The 26,422-nt window shown below is 37.8% G+C and overlaps 1 protein-coding gene across 7 annotated transcripts in view, besides 1 other annotated feature; it reads left to right on the top strand.

Annotated features, from left to right (window-relative positions):
• GRIP1 (glutamate receptor interacting protein 1) overlaps positions 1 to 26,422 on the top strand; it is a 721,908-nt gene that overhangs the window by 227,892 nt on the left and 467,594 nt on the right. The window lies entirely within an intron of this gene.
• Positions 10,956 to 11,126: a silencer, noted in NCBI's record as "fragment chr12:67224101-67224271 (GRCh37/hg19 assembly coordinates)". NCBI's record gives its function as "represses an EF-1alpha promoter that drives an FKBP-Casp9 reporter gene in an ReSE screen in phorbol 12-myristate 13-acetate-treated (for megakaryocytic differentiation) K562 erythroleukemia cells {active_cell/tissue: K562(+PMA)}" and the evidence as "EXISTENCE:reporter gene assay evidence [ECO:0000049][PMID:32094911]".

Below are 26,422 nucleotides of genomic sequence, written 5' to 3'. Positions count from 1 at the left end.
ATGTTTAATTATACTTAATCTCTCTCTCTCTTTTTATAGAAAGTTGCTTCTAGCCTATTCCTCAATACTAGCACATATCATCTTTTATTACATGACTGTATTTGTTTTATTAATGGTATGCTCTCTGAGGACAAGGACATACACTTCTTGGTATCCCTTGAAGGACTAACAGAGGCACAAGAAAAGAGAGAAGGAGAAAGGGAAGAGGAAACAAACACATGGGAAGGGTCTACATTATGCCAGTCACTCAGATTTTCAGATTTTCGTTCATTTTTGCTTCCCACTTCCACCCTGAGGATTTTCCTTATATCTTTGTGACCTCAGCTGTACCAGATTTTGCAGATAAAAATATGGGATGTTTAGTTAAATTTGAATTTCAGAAAAAACAAATAATTTTTTAATGGAAGTATATCCCATTTAGTATTTGAAATAACCTTATACTAAAAAATTATTCCTCGTTACCTGAAATTCACATTTAAATGAGTGTCTTTTATTTTACTTGGAAACTCTTTCAATTTCAAAAGGATTTTAAAAATATGTTAGCCAGTTAGAAAATAGTAGCTGAGTGACCTGCCCTTTAAAAACAAAAAGAGGCTCACTGGGCTGTCTGTGCATGTTTGACCTTGTCAGTCAGGCAATAGAGGGCCAGAGGCTGACATAACTCCTACTCTCTTCTGCCTCTCAGGCAGCCCAAATGACCAGTTAGAGAGTTTGGGGACTCTTGTTCTATCAAGCTTGGCACACAGTAGGAGTTCAGTAGGTTTCAGTCTAAATAGATTGCTCAGTAGTGTGAAAATCTTAGGTATTTCAGAGTTAATATTATGCCCTGATGTAAAATGAATTCACTTTATAAGGTGAATAATAACATCACTGGCAAGAAAAATGTCAACCAATCAGCTAGGAGAATTTTTACATATGCCTCATTAACAGTGCAGCCCTTACTGTCGTTGTCTAATGATCTTGTTCCTTCCCTGCTCTTGTCTAGGACAAATATTTCTTTTTTAAAAGTTGCCTCTTACGTTGTTTTGTAGTCATTCCCCAGCAGATTAACATTAGAAAAATGTTGGGTTTTCACAATTGTATTAGTGATTAAAAGCCACCACCCCAAACTGATAGCTCATTATTGTTCCTTAATAAGAATAACCTCCACTGCTTTATACTTGAAATAATAACTTTGGAGATGGAAAGCCTCAAGTTTGCTTCAGTTGGCAATCAATATCAGAAGCCTATTATTATTATTATTTTAAATCCCCAAGTAGTAGAGATTTTCCTTTAATTACATGTTGATGGGACATTTTATCTTGTGTGCTTGAGGTAGCTGTAGCTGCAGCTTGAGGCACTTATGGGCTTGAATGGGGCTTGAATTTATAAGCCTAAACCATGAAACAGCAGTGCAGGACCAAAGCCTGGGAATACAAATATCCAAGTTAAAATAATTTCCCATTTGGGTCAAGGATTAAATTATTGAATTTGCAACCTTATTGATTATAATGGCTACCTATAGTATCTATTAAACACACTTATCAAATATAAATGGTGACAATACGGAGATAAGAGAGATTGGTACAGAGGGGCAATGAATGGTAATCCATCTGGCTCTCTGTTAATCTGAAGCGCTTAGCAGAGTGCCTTGCACAGAGTAAGTGCCATTAATACTTGTTGAGCTGAACTCTTTGTCCACCCTCCCAGACTGACCAGGTAGGATACCTGTTCTCATAAATAAGATGTCACTTAGCAGACTATTAATATGCTTTTCTGGAATCCACTGTGCTATCAATTCCTATTTTCTTTTTTGGCCTTTGAAGCCCAAGCTTATCCCTTTGGGGATATCTTTCTTCATTGTTTTTCATGCTACACAGCTGCCGAAACTCAGTTGACTGAGTGGAATTTTTCAGGTGTTTCTTAATACTATTGTGAGTCTTCATATCATATATATTAGCATGTGCATAGACTGAGGCATTAGTGTGTGTATGCAAATTATAAAATAAACTCACAGATGAATACTGCATGCAATTAACTTGCAGAATTAAATCATTTTGAAAATTCTCATAATTCTCATAGAATTATGTCTATTACAGTTTGACCTCATAAGTAGGTGACATAGGAGTCATCTGCATCTGTATACTCATTTTCCCATAATGGTCCCTAATAGGTTCATTAGGGACTCCAGAATCACTGATTGGGCAATTTTGCTTGCTAAATTATTTCAAATGTCCATTTTTTTACTGACACCAAATGGTAGGATGTTTTTCTGTTCAATAAATGCAGGGTTTTTTCATTTTTTCTCTGTTTCCTTTTGTGTTTTTATTTGAAATATGAATCTGTTGGGAATTAAATTCAAATTAGTCTAATTTTTTTCATAGCTATAGTCGCTATGATAATGCTCAGTATTGCAGTGACAAGCCCTTAGTGTCTTGATTTCATTGCTGTTTGCTATAAAACATTCAAGTCTGTGGTAGAGATCTTGTAGTATTTGTGATCAAGGCAGCTCATTGTTTCTGCCCCTACTCTGACTTGCCCTTTAAAATGTCTTTTTCAGCGCTAAGTTTAAAATTGGCTACATAGAAGTCTGCCTTTATCTCCGACCCCAATATTTCACTCTGACAATTCTGTGATCCTTGTGCCTATTCTGTCATCCTTTCTTACTTGGTGGGCTTTTCTTGTTTTTAACCTCTTCCATTTTCTCTCTTGCCCAGTCACCACTGCTACCAAACCAAAAAGAATTACCTGAATCAACTCACCTATTTTTATCAGTCCAAATCAAAGTACATTGTGCCCCCTTATCGGGTGATGCTCTGTCCTTGTACTTTTTCTCTACTATTATTTTAACCCAGTCACTGATCCCAAACATTCCTCATCAGATTCTTTGGCTTTATTATGTCTAAGTTGATTTGTTCACATGCGTGAATGAGCGTGTTGTGCCTCTGCTGCTGGCAAGATTCTTGTCTGATCAGAGTTTTGCGTCTCCTGTGTTTACTCTAGGCAAGAGACTCCTGTCTTATTAGTGTAATCTTGATGTTCCAACCTCATCTTGGTATTTGGTAACTATTTTACCAATCACCTGCTGAGCTTTTTCACTTTGAAACACTTGAAATATTTTTAAAGTTATTAGAATTGGTACTCTAAAAATCATAGAAACAAATGGTACCCAATGATAGAGTAATGGAGAATATAACTCACCCACTGCCATTCTGGAAAGAATAAACTCATTGCCTTTACCCCAAAATTGGTTCTCCTGCTCGATTTTTTTTTTTTTTTTAGGTGGAGTCTTTCTCTGTCACCTGCCCAGGCTGGAGTGCAGTGGCCTGATCTCGGCTCACTGCAACCCTGCCTTCCGGGTTCAAGCGATTCTCCTGCCTCAGCCTCTGGAGTAGCTGGGATTACAGGCATGCACCACCACACCCAGCTAATTTTTAGTAGGCACAGGGTTTCACCATGTTGGCCACACTGGTCGCGAACTCCTGACCTCAGGTGATCCGCCCACCTTGGCCTCCCAAAGTGCTGGGATTACAGGTGTGGGCCACCGCGCCCAGCCTCCTGCTGGATTTTTTAACCACCATTCTGAAATAGCCCAAGTAAAATCTAGAGACTCATCCCTGACACCTTCCTCTTTATTCTGTTACTAAGACTTAAACATTTGACCTTTCTCCTTTACCCTTCCACTACAGTGTTTGCTCGCATCCTCATTCAACTATGCCTGGACCATTGCGATAGGCTTCTAACTACCTCCCTACAGACTTTCTTCAGCCTATTCTCTATACCACCAACAGAGTAATTTTCCTAAAAGTCATATAGATTTGTCTTATTTTTCTTTTAGAAACTTTTCAATGGCCTTTCATTGCTTGCAAGGTAAAATATAAATTCCTTAATATGCCTTTTCATTATTTTTCCCTTGCCAACTTCCCCAGCCTCATTTCACTTTTGCTGCACACATACCACACTGAGCTAATTACAGTAGGCCTGTGGGCATTGGTGCATGTTGCTGTGTCTGGAGAAATGCCCTCCTTTTCTGAAAGCATACCGAGTGCACATCAATGGTTTCCTGAGACACCTTCTCCCCTCTGAAGTCTTCTTGACTCACCCAAATAGAGTCAATCAGTTGCTTCATTGTTCTGTCTCTGTAGGTTTTAGATACTTTTGTTAATGCAACTCTTCTCTAAATCTCTCTCTCCTTTACTCTAATGTGAGGGCATCAAAGATTAGAACAGTGTCTTATTTATGTTTGCATCCCGCAGGCCTGTTATGGCTCATAGTGGGTACTCAGTAAAGGTGAGTTAAATTAACTTGAATGAGAAATAAAGACTTCTAACTTTTTCTTAGAAAGAGAAAAGCCATGAGCAGTAAGTTTAGGGGAAAAATAGAAATGACAGATCCTGATGACTCAGTGCATAATGAAAATGATTTCAGACTAGGTTGTTTGACAGCAATTATCATTTGGATTAAAAGCCTGCATTCCCTTCTCTCCAACCTCCAGTTGAAAGACAAGCTTTGAAGAGGGAAAAAAACAACAACATGAATGTACCTTTCCTTTCTTTGAAAGAGAGGTGTGCTTCTTTGATAGTCCAGCTTTCTGTGAGCTCTAAACATCCTCCTCTTCAAATGAACTAATCATCACTTCTGCTTTTGGTGGGGCAACCTGCTGCCAGCCTGTAAATGAGGCCTATTAATGATAGTACTCATTTCAAGTTCATAAATGTGAACACTAGAGAAGGAGGACACCAAGTACTGCTGCTGGCCATTAATCCATGTTATTAATGGAAGCATTTTTTATATCAATACCAGTCTTTCATCCTTCTAGTGAAGGTATTCTCATTATTTTATTGTGTACAAGTTAAAAGATATGTGTAAGCCTAGAGAGTCACAGGCAGAAAAAATGTATCACACTTGTGTATTTTCTCTCTAAATTTAGTGAAATCAATTTAAGGGAGGGTGGTTGGGGGAATTCTTTTAGTGACCTTTCTACTCCAAGAGCTATGGCCTATTTTAAAAGATGTATAGAAGAGCATGCTAATGTAAATTGCCACTATGTCATTGCTTGAAAGCTCCCATGAACTAAGTAGCTGGCTTATATAAAAGGGCTGTGGATAAAGGCCCGGGAAGTATGGGAGCCAGTTAAGGCCTGGGGGAAGCAGGCATCTTCTTGAGGGAGATGAGGTTGTGAGGTTCCTGGGCTTGAACTCTTCTCCAAGCATTTAGAGATGCTGAGTTTTGAGCAACATTGTCCATAAGGAAGGCTTACTTATTATATCATAGGTGGGTTTTGTCTATGATTATATCATAGATCCTGAAACACAGCAGGAGGGTAAAACAATCATGTCATATTTGCTACTTTATTAGAGCCTTACGTCCTTACCAACAGTAATCGTAGAATGACATAAAAGAGCTATTATTTTAAAAATAGAGTTTATTTTTAGACCAGTTTTAGGTTCATAGTAAAATTAAGTGGAAGGTATAGAGAGAGTTTTTATATGTTCCCTCCCCCTATACACACACAGCCTCCCCCATTATAAACATTTCCCACCAGAGTGGCACATTTGTTACAACTGATGAACCTAAATTGATAGTTGACATCATGGTTCACCCTTGGTGTTGTCCATTCTGTAGGTTTGGGTAAATGTATGATGACATGTATGCACCAATGGGGTATCACGCAAAATGATTTCACTGCCTTAAAGGTCCCCTGTGCTCCACCTGTCCATTCCCCAACACCCAACAATCACTGTTCTTTTTACTGTCCTTAGTTTTGCTTTCTCCAAGTGTCATGCAGTTTGAATCATATGGTATGCAGCCTTTTGGGATTGGCTTTTTTCACTTAGTAATATGCATTTAAGTTCCCTCCATGGTTTTCCATGGCTTAATACTTCATTTCTTGTTGGTGCTAAATAGTATTCTAGTATCTGGATGTATGACAGTTTATTTATCCCGTCACCTTCTGAGGGGCATCTTGGTTGCCTCCAAGTTTTGGCAATTGGCAATGATATAAACATTTCATTGATATAAACAATGATATAAACATTCCAAGTTCTGGCAATTGGCAATGATATAAACATTTGGCAATGATATAAACATCCATGTGCAGGTTTTTATGTGAACATAAGTTTTCAACTTTTTTTCATACTAATGACTGGGATTGCTATGTCAAATGGTAAGAGTATGTTTAGTTTTGTAAGAAATATCCAGACTTCTTCCAGAATGGCTATACTATATTGCATTCTCATCAGCAATGAATGGACAGTTCCTGTTGCTCTGTATCTTTATTGTTGAAGTATCTGTTGTTTTGTTTGTTTGTTTATTTGGTTGGTTGGTTGTTCGTTTTCTGCTTGAGTTTTAAAAATTCTTTATATGTTTTAGATAACAATCCTTTATTAGATATGTCTTTTGCAAATATTTTTCCCAGTCTGTGGCTTGTCCTTTCATTCTCTTCTCAGTGCCTTTCTCAGAACAGAAATTTTTAATTTTAATAAAGTGTAGCTTATCAATTCTTTCCTCCCCTACTCCTGCCCCCCCCCCTTTTTTTTTTAAAGAGACGAGTCTTGTCATGCTGTGTCACCCAGGCTGGAGTGTAGTTGTGTGAGCATAGCTCGTATAGCCTTGAACTCCTGAGCTCAAGCAATCCTCCTGCCTCAGCCTCCCAAGGCAATTCTATAGGCAATTCTTTCTTTTATGGACTATAGGCAATTCTTTCTTTTATGGATCATGCCTTTGGTATTGTATCCAAAAAAATCACCATAAAAGGGCTGTTTTTAATTATCCATACACTCCAGCCAATTGCATGCCTCTTCTACAATTATGTAAGTCATTGGCAAACCTCAGGCACTTTAAAGTACGTTTGAAGCAGATGCAATGGAAATACATACGAAAATGATAACATATTGGCTTTTAACTGTACTATTGATTAATTAACTATTTAAGTAAAACTTGGATTTTCTTTGATCCTAAGGGCGACCCTTAATTTCATTTTCCCCTAGAGTTTTTAAGCCTTTACAGTGCTTTATCTTGTATCTGTATTAATTGAGTCACTGTTTTCTCATGCACATACTAAGCTATCAGCGAGGAGTGAAAGACCATTGCTTGATTGCTTGATTTTGTCACAGACGCAGTACAATATAAAGGTTTGAGTCCTGGTTTTGCCACTCAGTAACTGTGTAACACGTGGGAAGGTAATGTCTCAAAGCCTCAGTGTAATCACTTGTTATAATACCTAACTCATTAGTCTGTATGAGGATCAAATGACATAATCCCCCCACCTTTTTTTTTTTTTTTTTTTTTGAGATGAAGTCTCGCTGTGTTGCACAGGCTGGAGTGCAGTGGCACGATCTGGGCTCACTGCAACTTCCATCTCCCATGTTCAAACGATTCTCCTTCCTCAGACTCCGGAGTAGCTGGGATTACAGGCACACACCACCTTGCCCAGGTAATTTTTCTGTATTTTTAGTAGAGACGGGGTTTCATGGTTTCATGGTTGGTCAGCCTGGTCTCAAACTCCTGACCTCAAGTAAGCCATCCGCCTTGGCCTTCCAAAGTGCTGGGATTACAGGCGTGAGCCACAGTGCCTGGCCAACATAATCCTTTTAAATTTTTTTTTAATAGCTAGCACATTTGTAAGCCTTTGATATATTTTGTCTTATCTATTAAGGCTTTTCCCTCTACTTTCAATTCTTACACTTTCTTTTTTAATGTAAGAGATAGATAAATAATGTTGTGACTTGTTTTACTTGGCTACACACAGTACCCAAATTCATGCTGATTTTTAAATTCCAATATTAATGATGACAACAATCAAAATAATTCAGTTTGAAGTTGGTGATAAGGGTCCAGTGTTGGGTGGGGAAGGGGTACAAGTCTGAAGGTTATGAGTGAACTCAGGATGCTGAGGGGAGAAGAAGAGAGGAAGTGGTAGATACTTGGATCCAGTGGCACAGAAGAGAGTCACATTTCCCCTGGAGAAAGGCAGACCCCATGAGTAGCCATTGGTTTCTTCAGCCCAGGGCTAAATAAGAGAAATGGAGCAGAATGCCTGAGTAATGTGAGGAGACCTGGATCTGTATGCTGGGGAATGGTGGGGACTTTCTCATTTGGAGCCCAGGGAAGAGTGGCTAAAAATATGGGAATGCTTCTGAAGAAAAGCAAATTCAACCTCATGCTTATGCCAGAATAAAGAGAGTGGTGGAAGCTGGATATTCCAGAAGGGCCACTGTAGAGTACACACCCTACTTTAGAACCGTAGCCGGGGGCCCCTGTAAACTAGACAACCTTTGCACCACTCAAGACTGAATCAAACACCTTCCTTAACACCATGTCTTGTGGCAGCAGCAGGGAGGTGGCTGCATCCTGCAGAGATGGGCTCCAGGTTTACAGGAGAAACTGGCTTCATGAAATTGGTAATTCTAGGATTAGATTCTGCCCTAAGTTGGTAGGTTCCATCACTGAGTCTCTGTAAGCCAAAGAGCCACCAGGAGGAACACATCTCAACACAAACTCCATGCTGCAGGGGCTGAAAAGAACTCAGAAAGTTTAGGTGTCTGTGTTCATGTTGCTAGGATCATGGGTCAGAGACTTTAACTTTGATAGCATCAAAGATCTTCCACTGGGAACCACCTGTTAGAGAGTATTTTACAGTCACTGATGCACTTTACTTACCAGGATATCACTTGATTGTCATAATATGCCTGTCCAATTAGCGGGTTAGTTGTTAGTTTTCCATTTTTAAAGATTTGCCTAAGGCCAGAGAAACAGAAAATAAAGAAGCATGATGTAGAATCTGTTTCTCCATATTTATAATTTGGATATTTTCTTCAACACCTCACTATAACCAGCTTAGTACCCCTCCTCCCAACTTACTGCATTACCAGGGATCACTCTGTAGTAAATCACTAAATCACTTCCTTACTAAGTTGTGCAGTTCTAAAAGCAGAGTATTTTTTTTTCTCATAAACAAAAAATCCAGTTTTTAAGTTGAGATTTTCGTTGGTTCCCAGGAAGGATGGAATGAATACAATATTAAGCATTGATTTAGAAGGATGAATGTCAGCTGAAATTTAAGAAACCCCTTTGTAAATAACCCAGGTCTCTATAGGAGGGTCGTAGATAGCATTTTATGTCTTTCTGACCTCCAACCTGAAGTGAAACATAAGGCATTGTGCTCATGACTTTTGATCTCTCCAAGTCTGACATTCGAATCGATTACCACAGGAAGCTATAAAATATTTTTCTCTAGAGGTATTGCAAACTAAGGTAAGAATTTCAGAAGGGACCAGGCTACAACTTGAGGATGAACTGAATGACCTCTTGATATTTTCTAAGCATGAAAATGATTTAGTAGCAAGGTGTACAGGTCTTAAGTGTACCCAGTGCAAGCCTCAGAAGTGACTTGTCTCAATTCACAACTTGTCTTGATCTTTTGCAGAACCTAAAATTTTTCCAAATGTGAGTCTGGATGGAACATGAGGTAGTGCAGAATGATTGAGGAAAGTCTAACTTATAAGTCAAATCTATAATAAAAATGGTTACAAACACGTACTAAAATAAATATCTTACTTTATTCCAGAGACTTTGCCAAGCACTTTACATGTGTAACTCAATTAGTTTTTACTGCAGTCTAGGTGGTAGGTACTATTGTTATCCTGGTTTTATACATACCAAGGCGTCAGGAGATTAAGTAACTTAGAAAGTAAGAGGAAAATCTGGGTTTTGTACCGTGCTCGTCCCAAAGGGCAACATGACTCCTTGGTGTGAAATCTAGAAAGAGCATACTATACATCTCAGTGATATATGATTCTACCATTTCCATTTTCCAGCTGTGTGACCACAGCAAAGTTATTTAACCTCTCAGAGTTTCAGTTTTTAATTCTGTAAATGGAAGATGAAATACCGGCTTTGAAGTGTTGCTTGTGAGGACACACATAAAGCATATACTCATTAGCTGTTATAATTTTGAAATATGTCCAGGGAACTTGATTGGGCCAACATATGACATTTGGAGAAGAGCTTCATGACTCTTACCTTCAATCTTGGGCTGACAAGAGTCAAATCATTCATTCTCTTGTCATTCTTGAGAGAAGTTGCTAATGTAAGATATCTCTAAGTCCATAAAAATATAAATAACATTAACATAATGCTAATGTGAATAAATCAGCATGAACTAATCAGCATTCCTGGAAAAAACGAGCCTAGTGTCACCTTGTAGAGTTAAAACAGCAGCTTATTGTGCATTTCTACATAGCCGTGTAGCTGGTGGCAATGAAATTCAGATATTACTTTTTTTGAGCAATAGTTTCAGATGGTTCCTGAGGAAGCTGTGTGCCGTAGCTCGCACCTGTAATACCAGCACTTTGGGAGGCCGAGGCGAGAGGATTGCTTTAGCCCAAGAGTTCGAGACCAGCCTGCGTGACATAGAAAACAGTGAGACCGCATCTCTACAATAAATAAAAAAATTACCCAAGTGTAGTGGCACATGCTTGTAGTCCCAGCAACTCAAGAGGCTGAGGTGGGAGGATTGCTTGAGCCCAGGAGGCCAAGGCTGCAGTGAGCCATGATCACGCCACTGTACTCCAACCTGGGGTGAGAGAGTGAGACCCTGTCTCACAAAATCAAAACAGAAAAAAAAAAAAAAAAATTCAGATACCAAAACCAGGGTCTGGAGTTGGTTACCTGGATTTGAATCCTGGATCTGCCATTTAGCAGCTGTGTGACCTTGGAGCAAGTTATTTAACTTCCCTGTGCTTCTGTTTTCTCATTTGTAAAATGGGGATGATAATGATACTGGTTTCCTATTCCTGTTGTAACAAATTGCCACAAACTTAGTGACTTTATAAAAACAACACAAATTTATTATCTCACCATTCTAGAGATCAGAAGTCTGAAAGGGGTTTCATCATGCCAAAATCAAGGTATCAGCACAGCCTCACTTCCTCTGGAGGTGCCACAAGAGACCTTGCCTTTTTCAGCTTTTCCAGGCTGCCTGCATGCCTCCTCTTTCGGCCCCTCATCTGTCTGCAGGCCAGCGTGTAACATCTTCAAGGCTCACTCTGTCTCTGACCCTCTCCTTCCATGGTCACATCTCTTAACTTTCACCTTCTTACCTCCCTCATGTAAACTTTTGTGATTACCTTGGGCCCATCTAGGTAATCCAGGATATTCTCCCCTTCTCAAGATCCTTGATTTAAGGGCATCTACAAGTCCCTTTTACCATGTAAGGTAACATATTCACAGGTTCTGGGCATCGCGGGGCAGTGGATGATTCAGCATACTACAATAACTAATAGTCTCCACCTGATAAGTTGTTGCAGGGACTAACATGTTAGTGGATATGACACATTTAAAATGGTATCTGATGTGTTATAAGGGCCAAGCACATACTAGCTATGTGATTATTGTTCTAGTATATTTTCATTATGGCAATAACCTGGCTGTATTCTAGCCTGCAGCATGGTATGTGGAAAGCTCATGGGCTTGGGAAATAGACCCAGGTATCCCTTTACTTACTGCCTGTTTTACTTTGGACAAGTAACTTGCCCTCTCTGAGGCCCAGTTTCCACATCTGTAAAACAGTGAGCTCTACCTCACAATGTTATGATGAGACTGTGGCTGCCTCAGGAAGTCTTAGTTTCCTTTCCTAACCAGCTCTGTGAACTTAGGGTGACTTATTCTCTCTGCAGGCTTTCCTAACCTGAAACTGAGAGGTAATAGTACTTGCCCTGTTTACCTCACAGTATGGTTGAAGGATCAAATGGTTTGGGAAAGCGCTTGAGCTATAAAATGCCACACAAATGGGAATCTACTACAAAGATATTTTTTTCTTATTGGACAAAAACATTCATCATGGAGACAAAATTTAACTAGATTTGGGGGCAAGTGGGTAGTGGAGGGAGAGACACAGTGTCTTTTCCTGTTTTTGATTGGAGAAAGGAAGGATCAAGGGTTAGGGGCTTGTATTAGTTTCCTGTGGCTGTCGTGTTATTACCACAAGCTTGGTGGCTTAAAATAACACAAATTTTATTGTTTCTCTTAGAGTTCTGGATGTCAGAAATCCAAACTCAGTTTCATGGAGCTGACCTCAAAGTGTCAGCAGGGTCCCATTTCCTGTGGGGGCTTTAGGGAAGAATCTGTCCCTTTCCCTTCCCAGTTTTTGATGGCTGCTGGCATTCCCTGACTTGTGGCCATGTCACTCCAGTCTCTACCCTCATGTACAGATTTTCTCCTCCTCTTTTGTGGGTCTGTGCTTTAGAACTTCCTCTGCCACTTTCTCACAAGAATATGTGTGATTGCATTTAGGGTCTACCTGGATAGTTCAAGACAAGCTCCTTTTCTCAAGATCATGTAAGAGGTCATAGTCACTCTTCTGCCATATATGGTAATAGTCACTCTTTTGCCATAAAAGATAATATTTACGGGTTCTGGGGATTCAGAAGTGAATTCATCCTGGGGAGGTGGGCATTTTTTCAGTCTGCCTCTAGGGTATAAAGAGAAGTCTCTCTGAAATGATAAAGATCCTTCAATCAGTGGCTAAATGTCGGACCATTGGCTGTCTTTGTTGAATGCTTCTATGAACAACAGCACTTATGAGGCATTACAGGAGCAATACCAACAAAAATAAACATAAGTTAAATCCCTTCCCTTAATGAGATTCTCATCAAGCAAATGAAAGATAAAACACACTTGAAAACAACTAAGTCTGCAGAGGGATATGGCAGCAAGTATAGTGCGACTCTCAGAAGGCCTCCTCGCCTGACCAAGGAGTTGGAGCTGAATTTTGAAGGGAAGGTGTTAATATTAATATGTCTATTGCAAAAGAAAGATAAAACTTTCTTTATAAGAAAGACTGAAAAATGATGAGGGTAAATCGTACTTGATTCCATTTTTACTTACCTAAAATGTCTATTGAAAAATGATGGGAGTTAATCATACTTGATTCTATTTTTACTTTTCTAAAATGAGATAACAGTTATAAATGTGTTTTGAAAATGTAAAAGTGATAGGGAATGTGAGCTGTTGGTTCATAATACTACTAGTAATCTTCAAATCATATTATTGAAGTACTGTATGGCAGTAGGGTAGAAAATAAATGGATGATGTGGCCTTAAAATTTGAAAGGTGAACTCAGTGTCAACAATTCCAAGTATCATGCCTATTCATTAGTTTTAATTTTTTTAGTTTAGCCTTTGGCAGTCTCTTGCTCTCTTTAACCTAATACTATCACATATGGCATCATCTATAGTTATGATTATATCTAAAATTCACAAGGCCTGCAATTCTATAATTTATTAAAGCCTGTAGAAAAGGTAGTGTGTGAATGTTAAATTAAGATAAAATAATTGCCTCACCACAAAGCTGGTAATTTATGTCATCTTGGGACTAGTATTTGGTCCATTTTGGACCCTGAGGCATGGGAGTCCCCAAATTAGGGCAAGTCCAGGATTTGACAGTGATGTGTATCTCCTTCCTGTGGGAGGCTGCAGTGAAAGAACCATGGAAAGACAGTGTCGTACTTTCTTCTCAGCAGCTTCCAACCACCAATGAAGCACTAAGAAAACTAGAACTTGACACACTTATTCGGTAGTGGCCCTATAAGCAAGATATGTTTTTATGAAAAAGAATTTATTTTTAAGTTTGAATTATAGACACATGTCTATCTAATTTTTGCAGTAATTTCAAAATGATACCTCAAAAGAGCCAGTGCTTGTTTACTGAGGTAGGGAAAAAAGGCAAATGTGGAAGGGAGAATTTTTTTCATGTTTTTCAAATCAACATTGTCATTCTTGCACTAAAGTTGAATCTTCTAAGCATTAAAATAGATGAGTGTTGCATACAGACTCTTAAGGTGGCCTGCATAGCACCTGTCTCCTGGCATTCATGCCCTTGTGTGATCCCCTCCCCTTGAGTGTGGATAGCACCTGTGACTTGCTTCCAACCAATGGAACAGGGCAAAGGTGAGAGGATATATGTGATTACATCTACCTAATTATGTGATTAGTGTATAAATTTGTAGTGTCTGTCCTTTTGGCACTCTCTTGCTCTCGCTGTCTTGTGCGCTCTCTCTCTCTCTCTCTCTCTCTCTCTCACACACACACACACACACACACACCTGGTTTTGAGTAAGTGAGCAACCTCTACAAACTAAGGGCAAGCCCCAGCCAATAGCCAGTAAGAAACTGAAGCCCTGCAAACATTCTGAGTATGCTTAGAGGTAGACTCTTTCCCTAGTTGAGTTTCAGATGAGAACTCAGCCCAGGTGGCCCCTCGATGGCAGCCTTGAGAGATCCGACAAAGAGAACCTTGCTGAGCCTTGTCAAGACTCCGGACCCACAGAAACTGGGAGAAAATTAATGTGTATAGTTGTAAGCCACTAAATTTTAGTAATATTTTTATGTGACAAAAGATGCTAATACAATGATTTGAATTTTTCTTTCTACCTCCAAAAGTTGACTTCAAGGAAGAAAGAGAGAGAAATCTTAGACATTAGGCAAGCTGCTGCTTTGAAAAATATTAAATATTCTCATATTTGGATGTATATTATTGATTTCCCTCTACCAATACTCTCTTTGATGCATTTTTTAAAAAAACATACATACAGAATATACCTAGTGAGTATTTAGAAAAGAAGAGGAATTGAGCCTGTGATCTATTTAGGATGTGAGAATTCTTCCTGCCTTCACTCCAATTTTAATTCAGTTTAATGGCATTTAGAATTTTGTGCTTTGGAGGAAAAGTTACTCCTTTTTCACTCATTTTTTCATTGACTAGAATTTAATATATTGTTTATTTTCTTTTTCATGAGTTTATTTTCATCTAATTTATGTAGAATAGAGATTTCTCTAGATGATGTTTGAATCTCTAATTCCAGCAGCACTTGAAGTAGAAATAGAACTTAGATTCAATTACCATAAAATAACATTTTGCTTACTGTTCAGTTCAATCTGCCTAATTCTTTGTAAGTATTTTGGGATCATAGAAACTCTGAGTAGTAGTTGAAGACTTGGTTTCTTTCTTTCTTTTTTTTATACTTTAAGTTCTGGGATACATGTGCAGAACATGCAGGTTTATAACATAGATATACACGTGCCATGGTGGTTTGCTGCACCCATCAACCCGTCATCTACATTAGGTATTTCTTCTAATGCTATCCCTCCCCTATCCCCGCATCCCCTGACAGGCCCCAGTGTGTGATGTTCCCCTCCCTGTGTCCATGTGTTCTCATTGTTCAACTCCCACTTATGAGTGAGAACATGAGGTGTTTGGTTTTCTGTTCGTGCATTAGTTTGCTGAGAATGATGGTTTCCAGCTTCTTCCATGTCCCCTGCCTGAACCCATCCTTTTTTATGGCTGCATAGTATTCCATGGTGTATATGTGCCACATTTTCTTTATCCAGACTATCATTGATGGGCATTTCAGTTGGTTCCAAGTCTTTGCTATTGTGAACAGTGCTGCAATAAACATATGTGTGCCTCTGTCTTTATAGTAGAATGATTTATAATCCTTTGGGTATATATCCAGTAATGAGATTGCTGTGTCAAATGGTATTTCTGGTTCTAGATCCTTGAAGAATCACCACACTGTCTTCCACAACGGTTGAACTAATTTAACTCCCAACAACAGTGTCAAAGTATTCCAGTCCTTAATCAAAAATTTTATTCCATTGATATAGGATGCATTCAGCATTTTAAAATGTAGTTTTATGCCCTGAAAAGGAAGAACTTTGCTATTAGTCATTCAAAGGGCACTCTCATCATTCTATTACAATAAGAGCAGCAGCAGAGGAAAAGCTGACATTTGTTAGGTGCTGATTACTTGCCAGGCACTGTACATTCATTTAATCCTGGAAGCAGCTAGGGATGAAGGTACTATATTATGCCCATTTTACAGATAAGGGAACTGTGGGATAAACAGGTTAAGTGCCTTGCCTGAAGTCTCAGATATAGTCATTGGGCAAAGTAGGATGGCACCCAAAGTGAACCTAAGATTTTATACTTACTAATCCCTAAGGATAAGATGAAGGCATATCTATATCAAACTACTTTCCCTGGTGAGAAGGCAGCTAATGCCCTTTGTACGAAATAATATGATCATGCGTGATATTGGCAGACTTTGTATTTAACCTCTCATGCCTTTTGTGTAAAGTCATATGGAGAAAGGTAATAATGACGATGTGGAAATCTCTATTAAATGAATTACGAAGCAAAAATTTTTATGGCATGAAAAAATTTGCTTATAAACTAACTACTTTAAAATTTGACCCTATGAATTGTTAGGAAAGGCCACAAATACATGCTATTACTGATTACTCTTCTTGGCAATGAAGAATAGTGTAAATTGAAAATCTTGCAGAAAGGTTCAGTTTAATGAGATTGATGAGATGCAGACAGACTGCTCAAATATAAGGACAGAATTGGACTAGTTAAAAATTGAAGATGAAAAGTAGACAATAGTGGTACTATAAACATGTCAAAAGAGAATGATTTGTTTATCAAGGGATTAAGAGAGGGCTTTGGGGAAAAAAAAGCTCTTGGAAACTTTTACCAAAATGGCCTCTTTTAGACTAAGCTAATGAAAGTCCAACATGAAGTAAAGGATGTTAAATTTTTTATTATATGATTTTGTGCTATCATATACATTTCCAGTAATTTAAAAAAATTATGCCCCCTCTTAAAAAAAGATAAAAGTCAATATAGTATTCATTTTTGTTCATTTTTCTAGCCTTCTTATTTCTGCTCTGAACTATGAAATTTAGCTTCTAAGTGAATTCACTTCGAGTGGCCTTTTCTTGGTTATAATTATCCTTGAATCATGAGTTTCCCTGTGCTTCCTCTATATAAACCACAGTTATTTAAATGTGTGACCTTCTCATCAATAGACACATTGAAGGAGAAATGGACAACCACTTGTCCAGGTTATGCAAAGGGCATTCGGCTTGGTGGGGAGGGAGGTGGTGTTTGGGCTTCATGATGAGTAGGCCATTTGCGTTGCCAAAGCCCTGTAAAATCCTCTGAGCTATGTCACATCAAAAAGACCCAGTAAAATGCTTCAGGCATGGAGTAATTATCCAGTGCCATGCAAGGAATGACTCATCATATGAGGCAGTCCTAGTGTAGACGCATGACCTGGGCCTGGAGCTTCAACAGCACAGGCTATGTCTTTATTCACATATATCTGAAACCGTCCACCTTTCAACCAGTAACTACTGCTTCTTTGCACTCCACCTTGATGGGGAGGGTTGTTAGTATGTCTGATTTTTTTGGTTAAATGATTAAAATGCCTTATCCCAAACCATTAGGTGTTTAGGGATTGTGCCCCACCCACCTTTTCAAAAATCCTGGCAGACTCAGGCTACCTCTGCCACGGTTACATCACATCATTGCTAATGCTATTAAACTTGAAAACTTGTCAGACTTGTACAAAGAATGAAACATTAGGGCCTTGTGGCAGCTGCAGCCTGTTTCTGTGTACTCTCCTGGAAAGGATAGAGCTATTAATAGAGTTAGAACTGGTTACACTTCAGAATCATCAGGCTGTCTGTTTCAGAGTTTGAGGATGGCATTGGATTTTCTGTTTTACATCTTGTTCAATTGATAAGAATTTTAGCCCAAACATGACAGTAAAAAGCGTGTGGTTATCTGTTGGGATTATATTGTGGGAGAGAAAGGCAAAGAGGATGATGCTGTCACCCCAAATCAGAACTCTTTCTTTCCTTGAATTCTGTGAGTGGTGTAAGTGCTAGGATTCTCAGGCCTGGGAAATCATTTGTATAGAGAAATGATTTCCTGGTATTATGGTTGGTGTTTACTGAGTAAATTCTTGATTTCCAATATTGCTTCTATTAAATGTCTCTGATTTTTTTTATCAAAGTACAAAATCTTAATTTTTCTGCTATAGAGATAGATATGGTGTATTAGGTGCCAGAGTATGTACTAAATACTGATGAAGGAGAAAGATGAATCTTAATTGTTTTAATAAACCAAGGAAGCTGTAAATGATCATTGATCATTTTTATCATGAAAATGTTAATGTGCAAAGTACTTTGCTAGACATTATTGGGTAATCAACCAAATAGAAATCTAGAGATCTCTATCCTCAAGGAATTTTAATCTCCCAAAACAAATACAAAGGCAGCAACTTGAGAACCATTACCAACATGTACCAAATAACACATAATTATAAAAAAACAGTTCTTTACAATGCTATCTTAATTTCCTAGGAAATTTTGATATTCAAGATATTTACATGTCTGAGGATTATGTAATCAGATAATTATAGAATTTTAGAGCTTCCAAACACATAAGCTATCATATTGTGCAATCCCCTCATTTTATAGATCAGAAAACAAGTCTAGAGAGGTTAAGTTGCACAAGGTCATGCAGTTAGTAGGGTTTGCTGGAACTAATTACTAGGTCTGTTTTCAGTTGAAGACCTATTTCTGTGTTACTAGCTTTGGCTTTATTTTAGTTAATCTATTTTTATAATTTTAACTTTTATTTTAGATTCAGGGAGTGCATGTGCAAGCTTGTTACGTGGGCATATCATGTGATGCTCAGGTTTGGGGTATGATTGATCTCATCAGCCAGGTATGAGGATAGTACCCAACAGTTTTTTGACCTTTGCTCCTTTCCCTTTCTCCTCCCCCGTTTCCATCCTTATGTCCATGTGTACCCAATGTTCTGCTTCCACTTATAAGTGAGAACATAACAGTATTTGATGTTCTGATCCTGTGTTATTTTGCTTAAGATAATGGCCTCCAGCTGTATCCATGTTGCTGCAAAGGACATCATTTTGGTTTTTTTATGGCTGCATAGTATTCCATGGTGTATAGGTACCACATTTTCTTTATCCAGTCCATTGTTAATGGGCACCTAGGTTGATTCCATGTCTTTGCTATTGTTAATAAGTGCTGTGACAAACATATGAGTTCATGTGTCTTTTTGATGGAATAATTTATTTTCTTTTGGATATATACCAAGTAATGGGATTGCCGGGTCAAAAGGCAGTTTTGCTTTAAGTTCTTTGAGAAATCTCCAAACTGCTTCCAATGGTGGCTGAACTAATTTGCAATCCTACCAGCAATGAATAAGCATTCCCTTTTCTCTGCAGCCTTGCCAGCATGTATTGTTTTTCAACTTTTTAATAATCTTGTTTTGGCTTTATAAAAGGAATGGCATGCTGAGTTTTGGAATTTTTCACAAGTATGCTGAGAAAGTATATGGTTCTGTTAGTCATAAAACATAGGTGAAAATAAGAAGACAGATTGGCGAAGCCACCTTCTACCAGGGATTCTGCTTCTACGTGTGTTGCAATATGGCTTCTGGGCTTTTATAAGCTTCTCACAGTCAGCTCTTTCCTTTCTTCCTAGCTCACCTGAATGTTTCAACTGCATGATGCTTTCTGAATACCAGGTAATTGAAAAGAAAGAAACACACATACACACATACACATACACACACACACACACACACACAAGATGGAAGTGGCTCCATCACTTGGCCCCTATTCTATTTCTGGTCCAAGGTATGCTCATCATCTAGGAGCTCTTCCTGAGATAATGTAGTCGGCCAAGGATGTGACACTCAAAACCCCTATTAGATATGACTTGATCGCAGTAGGGCCTCTACTTTTTGTTGTGTGATGAAATGTATACAGAATCACCATCCCTATTCTGATGAAAGTCCAAATCTCTTATTCAGTTCCACTCCTTTTCCTCCTAAGTCACTTCCTTCTACAAGACTACTTAAGAAAGGAGTTGCTGGTGATCTCAATGGTTTGTTTCCAAAACCCAGAAGTGTGAGTATGTATAAGAGAGATTTATAGTTACTATTGGCTCGATTTCTCTAGGGAGACTAATTAATGCCACTAAAAATTAAAATATAAACTTCAACTAAATTGCATTGACAAGGACTTTTTTTTATCTTTGCAGCTTGACATCTGTTTAACCTTTTCTCAACCTAAGCTAGAAATCTAAAGAAGTATTCTTTATTTCTTACATCACAAAGCAAGATGTTAGGGGGAAACCACGATTATGCATGTCAGGGTGTTTTGGACTTGAGTACTCATGGTAACATAAAGATATAACAGTTATGAAGATCTTTAGTCATCCATAGCTTTCCACATTTTTGCTGTGATACAAAATATTTAGCTCCATTTTCATAGCACTCATTAATGGTAAATCTAAAAAACAATGTTAAATAAAATTTTCTAAATTTGCTAACTTGTCTCTACCAAGTTTATAATTTTACTATATATACTAGAAAAGGGCTAGGTTGATTTTTTTTCTTTAAATAGAATTTATATTTTGGAGTAGCTTTGGTTCATAACAAAATTGATCAGAAAGCACAGAGTTCCCATGTATCCCTAACCTCCCTATAGATATACAACATTCTCCATTATCAACATCCTCCACCAAAGTGGTACAGTTGTTACAATTGAGGAACCTATACTGACATATCATTATCTCCCAAAGTCCATAGTTTATGTTAAGGTTCACTCTTGGTGTTGTATGTTCTATAGATTTTGAGAAATGTATAATGACGTATGCACCATTATGGTATCACACAGAATAATCCCAGTGTCCTAAAAATCCTTTGTGCTTCACCTATTTATCCACCCCTCCTTCTGATTACTAGCAACCCCTGTTTTTTTTTTTTAATTGTCTCCCTAGTTTTTCCTTTTCCCAAATGTCATACAGTTAGAATCATACTATGTAGTCTTTTTGGATTGGCTTCTTTCACTTAGTAATAGCATTGAATTTTCCTTCATTTCTTTTCATGGCTTGGTAGCTCATTTTTTTTGGTGCTAAATAATATTCCAGTATCTGAATGTACCATAGTTTAGTTATCTAGTCACCTACTGAAAGACATATTGGTTGCTTCCAAATTTTGGCAATTATGAACAAAGCTGACATAAACATCCATGTGCAGGTTTGTACATGGACATAATTTTTAATACCTTTAGGTAAATACCAATGAGCATGATTGCTGGACTGAATACTAAGAGAGAATATTTAGTTGTCTAAGAAACTGCCAAATTGTCTTCCCAAGTAGCTGTACCATTTTGCATTCCCATCAGCAATGAATGAGAGTTCCTGCTGCTCCACATCCTCACCAGCATTTGGTATTGCCAGTGTTGTGGACACTAGACATTTTAATAGGTGTGTAGTGCTTTCTTATTGCTATTTTAATTTGCATTTCTCTAATCGCATATGACTTGGAGCATCTTTTCACATGCTTATTTACCACCGTGTTAGCCAGGATGGTCTTGATCACCTGACCTCGTGATATGCCCACCTCGGCCTTCCAAAGTGCTGGGATTACAGGCGTGAGCCACCGTGCCCAGCCCAGCGTATTTCAAAATGGTTATTTTTCCCTCTTCCTGCCAAAAGCAGGAGGAGATATTTCTTCAGTATTCACTGTGAGAACCTCAGCAGGTTTCAGGAGGTAAAGCTCACTAAAGTAAGGTGCCTCCAGATAACTGAGTCTCCCTGGAGTTTTTATCTTTCAGGCTTATCTACACTCCAGAAATTCATCAATTGCAGCACAGGCTTTCCTAGCCCAGCATCAGTTCCCACAGAAATTTATGCTTTGGTTTCCATTCCAGTAAGAGTAGTGATTCTCTGATTCACCTGTTTGTGTCTTCAATTTTGTGGGCAGTGGTTTGCCCTATGATATCACATCTCTGATGGGTTCAAGAAGAGTTGTTGATTCAGTTTGTTAGCCTTTCACTTGTTATTAGGATAGAGTAGTGATGCTCATGCTCCTTAGATGCTGAACTGGAAACTGGAACTCTTAGTTTGAATGTTGACAGTAACTATTCAAAATTATCAGTTTAGTTAGACCTTTTGACATATAAAACTAAAACCCACCTTGTACTGGCATTATAAAAGTGGTTTAATGTAGCAATGCATATTATTTAAAAATTTTGCTGTATGTTTTGCTGTGCCTAGCCCAATTCCTGGTACATAATAGTAGTTCAATAAATATTTATTAACGTTAGGCAATGGTTTAATTCATGTATTTGTATCATGATTTCCTGTGACACCAGTAACCTAAGAATAATATAGTGTAATTACTTACAGAAAACAGCATTTGAAAATTACTTAACATTTTAAAACATTAATATTTCTTATTACAGTTCAACATAACTACCATCTTATGTGATTATATTGCTCTAGTTGATTTTAAAACTTTGTAAAAATTTCCATCTACTGAGCTTATTAGCTGAAAGGATTGAATTCATTATTCTAGCTTTAAAATCAACAAAAGTAAAAGGTTTTGAAATATACATCGGTTTGGATATTACCTACCAAAAGTGTAATAGAGGCAGATCAGGTGACTGAGGTCACCAGGCAAAGGGCTTCTTTGGCAGTCCATTTGGGAATACTGGGAAACAAAAATGTTAAAATAAAATTTTATCCTCCCAAATGCACTAAACTAAATACATGTAAAAGACATTTAAGTACATTGTTAGTATTTGTACTTCTGAAATTATTAAAGCTTTAAATTGCATTAAGATTTTTTGGGACACCTTTTATTAGAATTTGCAGAAAATAACAGTAAACCAAGGCTCTTCTCTATTTTTACTCATTAGTGGTTCTGTACAGCAGTGGATCTCAAAGTATAGTCTATGGACCCCTGGGGGTCCATGTTATTTGAGCTTACACAATAGTGGGTAACACCTCTGGAGCTTTAGTACCCAAACAGTGGCACCAAGGTTTACTAGTAGTAGTAGTATATTCTTTGCCACCACACACATGCAATTAAAAACAAAAAGCAGATTTCACCTATGAATGCCTTTAAAGAAATAATAAATATCTTTTTAATATTCTGTGTTAACAAAATGGGACGTACTTTTAAAGCACTCTGTTGCATACCAAAGTACTATGACTGTATCCAAAAAAACACTTAATGAAATGTTTGAGTTGTGAACTGAATTAGCTACTTTTTCAATGGAATAATATTTTTATTGAAAGAATGAACAGGCAAATTGTAGTTATTCAGACTTGGGTATTTGGCAGACATTTTCTCAAAAATGAACAAGATGAATTCATTTGTTACTTCAAGGATAACAGATAACATTTGTTGCCAATAATAAAATACAAGCTTTTAAGTGAAAATTGGAACTTTGGAAAACTTGTATCTACCATTATGAACTTGGCAGCTTCCTAATATACTTACTGACTTTTTGGATGAGATTTGTGGAGATAATGAATGTGATGTTTTGATATTGTATAATGAAACATGAAATGTATTAACATTTGGAAGACCTGCATAACTCAGTGAACCAATATTTTCCAACTAACAAATGCATGATGTGTCAAGATATATTCTAGATGTAAGAAAGAACAACTGATATTAATGTGATAGAGTACAAACAGTTCCTTGACATAGTTTCAGATCCACATTATAACTAATATTTAATGTTGAATCCTGGTATAGTATCAAAGAATATCCACAATTATCTGAAAAGGCTGTTAAAATACTCCTTCCTTTTCCAACTACATTTCAGATTTTCTTTCTATACTCTGTTCAAATAACATATTGCAACAGATCGAATGTAGAATCTGACATTAAAATGTAGCTTCTTCCTATTAAGCTACATATAGAACAGATTAAGTAAAAATATAAAACAATGCCTGTCTTAGGCATTTTTTAATTTGAGAAATGTAGTTATTTTTCATAAAATATTTGACTTATATTAACATGTGATGTATTTGTTGCTTAATAAATTAGTAATAAACATATTTTAAAATTCTCAGGCTAGGCATGGTGGCTCATGCCTGTAATCTCAGTACTTTGGGAGGCCGAGGTGGGTGGATCACCCGAGGTCAGGAGTTCGAGACCAGCCAGCCTGACCAACATGGTGAAACCCCGTCTCTACTAAAAATACAAAATTAGCCAGGCATGGTGGCAGGTGCCTGTAATCCCAGCTACTCGGGAGGCTGAGACAAAAGAATTGCTTGAATCTGGGAGGCGGAGGTTATGGTGAGCTGAGATCATGTCACTGCACTCCAGCCTGGGTGACAAGAGAAAGACTCCATCCCAAAAAGTAAAAAATACAATAAAATTTTCAGTTTTAGTGTCAAATATGGTACATATCAATAAGTAAAATTCATATAAACAAAAGCTCTTTGATGTCCTCAGTAATTTTTTAAAGAGCAGATGGGTCTTGAGACCAAATTTAAAATTTACGCTTTAAAATGAAATAGTCCGTGGGAAATATATATGTGTGTGTGTGTGTGTGTGTGTGTGTGTGTGTGTGTGTGTGCATACTGAAAATTATGTATATATATATACTGTGATGAAACAAGTTTGCTGCCTGTCAGAGAGTCATACTGGCATAAGAGTGTCATAAAAGCACTTAGAAGTCTTACAGTTGAAAAACAGGCTTAATTTTGTTTGACTTGGTATTTCTCAGGCTCTTGGATAAAATCTTATTTGTTTTCTGAGGAAAGGATGTTCATGAGGAATCGTCTTTTGCGAATACTGCTTTATTTACATTTTGTTTTGAAGATCTAGTGCCTTGAGTAGGTTAAAATGTTATAAACCCCACAGTTCTCTAGTATAAAATATAAAGGGGGCAACCTTAATCATGAAGCAAATATATGAACATATTTCATGAGCAAATGGGACTGAGGATCTAGTTTTGTTTTTTTCAAAATGACTTTAAGATTCTGTAAGAAGTTCAAAGTCTACTGTTAGAATTCTTGTTTCTTGTCATTCAGAAAATTTTCATTGATATAGGATAAAAAGAAGGCTGTTAGTCATCTGAAAATTCTAATACTTCTTTAAGGTTTTGAGGCTATATTTTAAAATGGTAGTCTCAAGTTTTTGTGTTTTCTTAAAATGTACCAGTGTGGTTTAGTGAAAGAGTAAGGACTTAGAGGACTTACATAAGGTTGGTTACAAATAATGTGTCCATAATTTATTGAATCTTTAATGGATAAGTTTATAAATATCAGCACCTGTAAAATGAGATTATTATGGTTACCTTACTAGGTTGTTGTGAGAAGAAAATTAAATTTTGATAGAGCCTTTAGTACAATCAATATACAGGAACTGAGTGCCTATCAGAGGCCAAGCTCTATGCAAGGTACCAGGGAAACAAACATGAATAAAATACTGGCTCTTTGCTGAGCAAGCTTGGAGATCAGTTTCAGGGAAAGCCAAAATGGTCTTAATAACAACAGAGAATAATAGTGCTGCAATAAAGTAAGTGAGGGGAGACAAATAATTGTCCTCCAGTGGGTCTATTTACCCATTCTTTGCTAATAGAAACTCTCAAATTTAGAGAAACCACATTTCCCTTCTTCCAATTCAGTAAGGTGTGACCAAAAGACAATGACATCTACACAGAAGTGACAGGTGCAACTTACTGATCCTGTTCTCAGATGAAAAATTTACTATTTTTTCTCTTCCTTTGTGCTAGAACTTGGCCATGACAGTATTGAGTCACACTCATGAATATAAGGACAATATTTCTTGTTATCATGTTTCAGACAGAAGGAACCCAGATCCCTGGATGACCTCATGTAACAGTTCAACCTCCTCTCTCCCACCACTCAGACCTTAATATGAGAAAGAAAGAAAGAGAGAGAGAGAGAGAGAGAGAGAGAAAGAAAGAAAGAAAGAAAGAAAGAAAGAAAGAAATCTTTCATCTTGTTTAAGCCACTCCCCATTTTTTTTGTTTGTTTGTTTGTTTGGTTTGAGTCGGGGTCTTATTCTGTTGCCCAGGCTGGAGTGCAGCAGCATGATCTTGGCTTATTGCAGCCTCTACTTCCCGAGCTGAAGCAATCCTCCCACTTTAGCCTCCCAAGTAGCTAGAACCACAGGCGTGTGCCACAAAGCCTGGCTAATTTTTCTTTTATTTTTTGTAGAGATGGGGTCTCACTATGTTGCCCAGGCTGGTCTTGAACTCCTGGGCTCAAGTAATCCACTCACCCCAGCCTCCCAAAGTGCTGGGATTGTAGGCATGAGTCACTGTGCTCAGTGTAAGCCACTCTTACTAATTTGTTAAAGCACCTGAACTAGTATCCAAACTAATAGAGTCATCCTTAGATGCTGTAAGTCTCAGGCCTAGACCCCTTGGAAGGCATGGGGGAGGTGATCATCAGGCAGAGTTTTCTGAAAAATGGAGTTCCTGAGCTAGGTTTTGGAGGATCATTGTGATTTGGAAAAAACTCTTCCCCAGGTGATTCTGACTCTCCCCTCTTATGATACCACCCTCATCCATGAGAGTCACTAATGTGCTACCTCGTCATGAGATTTGACTTGTCCTTTGTTGGTAATATTCCAGGAGAAGATCTAGTTACATAGTAATTGCTTTATTCCTTAAACAAAACAAATTTGTATGAAACGCTTCCTATATGCATATAAAGGATATAAATATCTAATATGGATCTGCTGATATAGTTTGGCTATCCCCCACCCAAAATCTCATCTCGAA

Source organism: Homo sapiens, chromosome 12 (assembly GCF_000001405.40).
Source record: "Homo sapiens chromosome 12, GRCh38.p14 Primary Assembly".
Taxonomy (NCBI): Eukaryota; Metazoa; Chordata; class Mammalia; order Primates; family Hominidae; genus Homo; species Homo sapiens.
Note: the sequence above shows the minus strand (reverse complement) of the source record. Positions and strands in the feature narration are given on the sequence as shown.